The sequence below is a fragment of the Homo sapiens genome, chromosome 3, assembly GCF_000001405.40.
Source record: "Homo sapiens chromosome 3, GRCh38.p14 Primary Assembly".
Classification (NCBI taxonomy): Eukaryota; Metazoa; Chordata; class Mammalia; order Primates; family Hominidae; genus Homo; species Homo sapiens.
The window spans coordinates 175,835,135-175,839,418 of record NC_000003.12 but is presented as its reverse complement, the minus strand read 5'-3'; the positions used below and the strand labels follow the sequence as shown (position 1 = coordinate 175,839,418).

The 4,284-nt window shown below is 38.5% G+C and overlaps 1 annotated feature.

The window, feature by feature from the left end:
* Positions 3,779 to 4,284: an enhancer, noted in NCBI's record as "H3K27ac hESC enhancer chr3:175552923-175553428 (GRCh37/hg19 assembly coordinates)". NCBI's record gives its function as "activates a minimal SCP1, AML or CMV promoter by ChIP-STARR-seq in primed H9 embryonic stem cells {active_cell/tissue: H9 hESC(primed)}" and the evidence as "EXISTENCE:reporter gene assay evidence [ECO:0000049][PMID:30033119]".

Sequence of the window (4,284 nt, the reverse complement as noted above, 5' to 3'; positions counted from 1 at the left end):
ATTTACTTCCTTTCTTTTTCATTTTTTTTCTTTTTCTTTTCTTTTTAAGCAGTCACACCAGAATCCTATAAGGTAACCAATAATTCAAAGTCCATTTAGTAATAGTTTTTTCTTACTGATCATCTCACCCTAAGTTCTGAATAGTTTTCTATGGTCCTTGACCCGCAGTGAACTAAAGGGAAATTTACTGTAGTCACAGATGCCAATGGAGGTGAAGTAAGAAGTAAATGAGTGAATTTCTATCGGATAAGCTATCTTATGCCATTTGTTTTTGGAATGGAGGAGGGAGGAATGGAAATTAGCCAAAGAAAGCAAAGCTAATTCAACTTTTCTGCTTATTCTCTCCTAGAGATCAAATTGATGTCCCAATCTCTTTTGCAATTTTCCACACGAGCCTTTTATAAGAATAAATTGAGAGATTATTTTTTATTCTGGAATTGGGAATGTATATCACATACATTGTGTTGGAAGCAGAGGCATAGGATGGTAAATATTTTCCTTTCTCTAATAGTTGAAAAAACCATAGTTCCTTATAAGCATGATTATATGACAGGAAGCACTACATGCCATGAAAGTTGCTATCATCCACAAAGTAGAAGTCATGGCAGGCTGGGCGCGGTGACTCATGCCTGTAATCCCAGCACTTTGGGAGGCCGAGGCAGGCTGATCACCTGAGGTCAGGAGTTCGAGACCAGCCTGGTCAACATGGTGAAACCCCGTCTCTACTACTAAAAATACAAAAAATAACTGGGCAAGGTGGTGCACGCCTGTAATCCCAGCTACTTGGGAAGCTGAGGCAGGAGAATTGCTTGAGCCCAGGAGGCCGAGGTTGCAGTGTGCTGAGACCGTGCCATTGAACTCCAGCCTGGGCAACAAGAGCGAAACTCCATCTCAAAAAAATAAAATAAAATAAAATAAAGAAAGTCATGGCAGTGGTTTGAATTATGTGCTTAGCAATCTGACTACCCTGTAAAATTGTTTCGCTTTCTCTCTAAAAAAAGTGTGAACAGTGTTCATTGTGAGCTAGAAACCCATATACTACACTATTTCTTTTTATTCAATGTTATAGAAAATGAAAGAATAAATGCTTGTGTTTAATGTATTAACCACACCTTTCCAGTTTAAGGGAGATGATCTAATTTGACAGAATATACTAAATGTATTTTGTACTATATATTTTTAAAAGATGAAAAAAATCCAGGAAATGATAGATTTATAAAGACTTAAAATATGTCATCTTGATGAAACCCAGAGGCTTCATGAAAGCACTGGGATATTTCCAGCCCATTCCAAAGAAGAACATCTTGACCCTACTTTATATAGTTCGTAGAAACACCCTTTGCTCTAATAAATAGCAAGAAGTAAGGTTGGTTTTTTTTTTCTTCAGTCTTTTCTAGAGCTTTATTTTATTTCCGATAGTATTGTATTTCAAGTTCCAATCTGGGCATTTCTAAGGATCTCAAACTTTTTAGCCATTTCATTTTTAAAGCTCTCAGGATTTCTAAACTTTTAATGTCAGTGAGTCTTCAGAAATTAAAGGCAAGGAAGATGCAAAGGACATATCAGATATAATCTAAAACAATTAACTAGGTTAAGTAAGTAAAATTCAAAGATGACCCAAATATTACTACCCTCTGATATGCATATCTCTCCCCTTGAATGTAGGAATTACCTGTGAATTTGATGGAAGTCACTCCAATAATTACATTATATCATATGGCAAAGGTGAAGAGATTTTGCAGATGTAATTAAGGCCCCAAATCAGTTTTATTTTGATTTAATCGAAGGGGTTATTATTCTCAGTAGGACTTAACCAAATCAAATGAGCCCCTTTAAAAGATTGGTTAGGCTTTCCTTGAGCTCAGAGATATTTTCCTTTTGGCCTTGAAGAAGAAAGGCACCATAACTTACACAGCTACAAGAAAGTGAATTCTGCCAACAGCCACATGAGGTTGGAAGGAGACCCCAAGCTCAAATGGGTCTGAAGGCCTGTTTGATACCTTACTGCAACTTTTTTGAGACCCTGGGCAGTGGACCCAGGTAAGCTATGCCTGGACTCCTGACCTACAGAAACTGTTGAATAATAAATGACTTTCATGTTAAGTCATAAAGTTTGAGGTGATTTGTTTATATTAATAGAAAACTCACACTGATTCTCATTGTGTGAGTTTTATATTTGGTATATGAAGAGATACACACACATCCTATAAGGTCTGTTTTTTTTTTTCTTGAAAATATATAATATGTATGAATGTGTAACGAGAGAGAGGAATTTAATATTAATAGAGGATTTAATATTTAAAATTAACATTAAATCCCTCTCTCTCGCTCCACATGAACTACTAAAATTTCATGTTAGTAGATAAAGGACATGGTTATGGAGACTGAGAAGTACCAAAATCTGCAGTCAGCAAACTGGAGACCAAAGACTGCTGATAATGTAAGTTCCAGTCTGAGTCCCAGTCCAAAGGCAGGAGAAGACTGATTTTACAGCTCAGAGACAGTCACACTGAGACAAAATTCTTTCTTAATCACTCTTTTGTTATTCTTTTTAGACCTCCAATGACTTGGGTTAGACCCATTCACGTTGGGAGGGCAATCTGCTTTACCGCCTCCTGATTCAAATATTAATCTCGCCCATAAACACCCTCACAGACACTCAGAATAGTGTTTAACCACATAACTGACACCCCATGGTTCATTTGAGTTGACCTATAAAAGTAACCATCTCAAGAAGTGACAACCTGTGACTTTATGCACTTACTTGACGTTTCCTCTGATCTGCTTTAAGATAACATCTAATCCATGCTAGAGAATGAGTGAGCAGCTTCCCAGTTTGTCTACTGGTCTACAGAGTTTACTCCATTCTTTCTCATATTAATATTTATATTCTTTCTTTACCTTTAACATTCCTTAATATTTAATATTCATTCTTTCAAGTCAACAAATGACTGAGCAACAATGTGTATAAGACTTTGGGTCAGACCAGGATTAGGCACTCAATAGCCCCATTCTTCAAGGCATTTAAAATACTGCATGTATAATTTAATTAAAAAAAACTTGAATACTTAATAGGTGCAAAATAATGTACTATGTAGTATGAGCAATATAAAGAATAACTAGACAGAACTTATTCCTAAGAAGCTTACTATCTCATGGGTACAGAGCAGACATAAATAAATATCACAAGTAGGCTTTCATGCGCGTCCATGTGAAGAGACCACCAAACAGGCTTTGTGTGAGCCATAAAAGCTTTTAATCACCTGGGTGCAGGCGGGCTGAGTCTGAAAAGAGAGTCAGGGAAGGGAGATAGGGGTGAGGCCGTTTTATAAGATTTGGGTAGGTAAAGGAAAATTCCAATCAAAGGGGGTTTGTTCTCTGGCGGGCAGGAGTGGGGGTCGCAAGGTGCTCAGTGGGGGAGCTTTTTGAGCCAGGATGAGCCAGGAAAAGGGCTTTCACAAGGTAATGTCATCACTTCAGGCAAGGACCGGCCATTTACACTTTTTTTGTGGTGGAATGTCATCAGTTAAGGTGGGGCAGGGCATTTTCACTTCTTTTGTGATTCTTCAGTTACTTCAGGCCATCTGGGCATATATGTGCAAGTCACAGGGGATGCGATGGCTTGGCTTGGGCTCAGAGGTCTGACATTCCTGCCTTCTTATATTAATAAGAAAAATAAAACAAAATAGTGTTGAAGTGTGGGGGCGGTGAAAATTCTTGGGGGGTGGTATGGAGAGAGAGAATGGGTGATGTTTCTCAGGGCTGCTTCAAGCAGGATTAGGGGTGGCGTGGGAACCTAGAGTGGGAGAGATTAAGCTGAAGGGAGATCTTGTGGTAAGGGGTGATATTGTGGGGATGTTAGAAGAAACATTTGTGGTATAGAATGATTGGTGATGGCCTGGATATGGTTTTGGATGAACTGAGAAACTAAACGGAAGATACAAGGTCTGAATAAAAGAAGAAGAAAAATGGGTATTAAAGGACTAAGAATTGGGAGGGCCCAGGACATCCAATTAGAGAGTGCCCAAGGGGATTCAGCATAATTGCTTGGTTGGCAAGTTTTTGGGCTCTATCCTTGAGTTTTTTTATGTTGTCATACACCAGGCCAGATTGATTTAGGTAAAAACAACATTCTTCATTTAAGAATATACAGAGTCCTCCTTTTTCAGCAGTGAGTAAGTCAAGGCCTCGGCGGTTTTGGAGGACAACTGCAGCTAAAGAGTCAATTTGGGCCTGGAGGACTGATAAAGTTTGTGATATGTCTGTGATGCTAGCAGAGAAGTC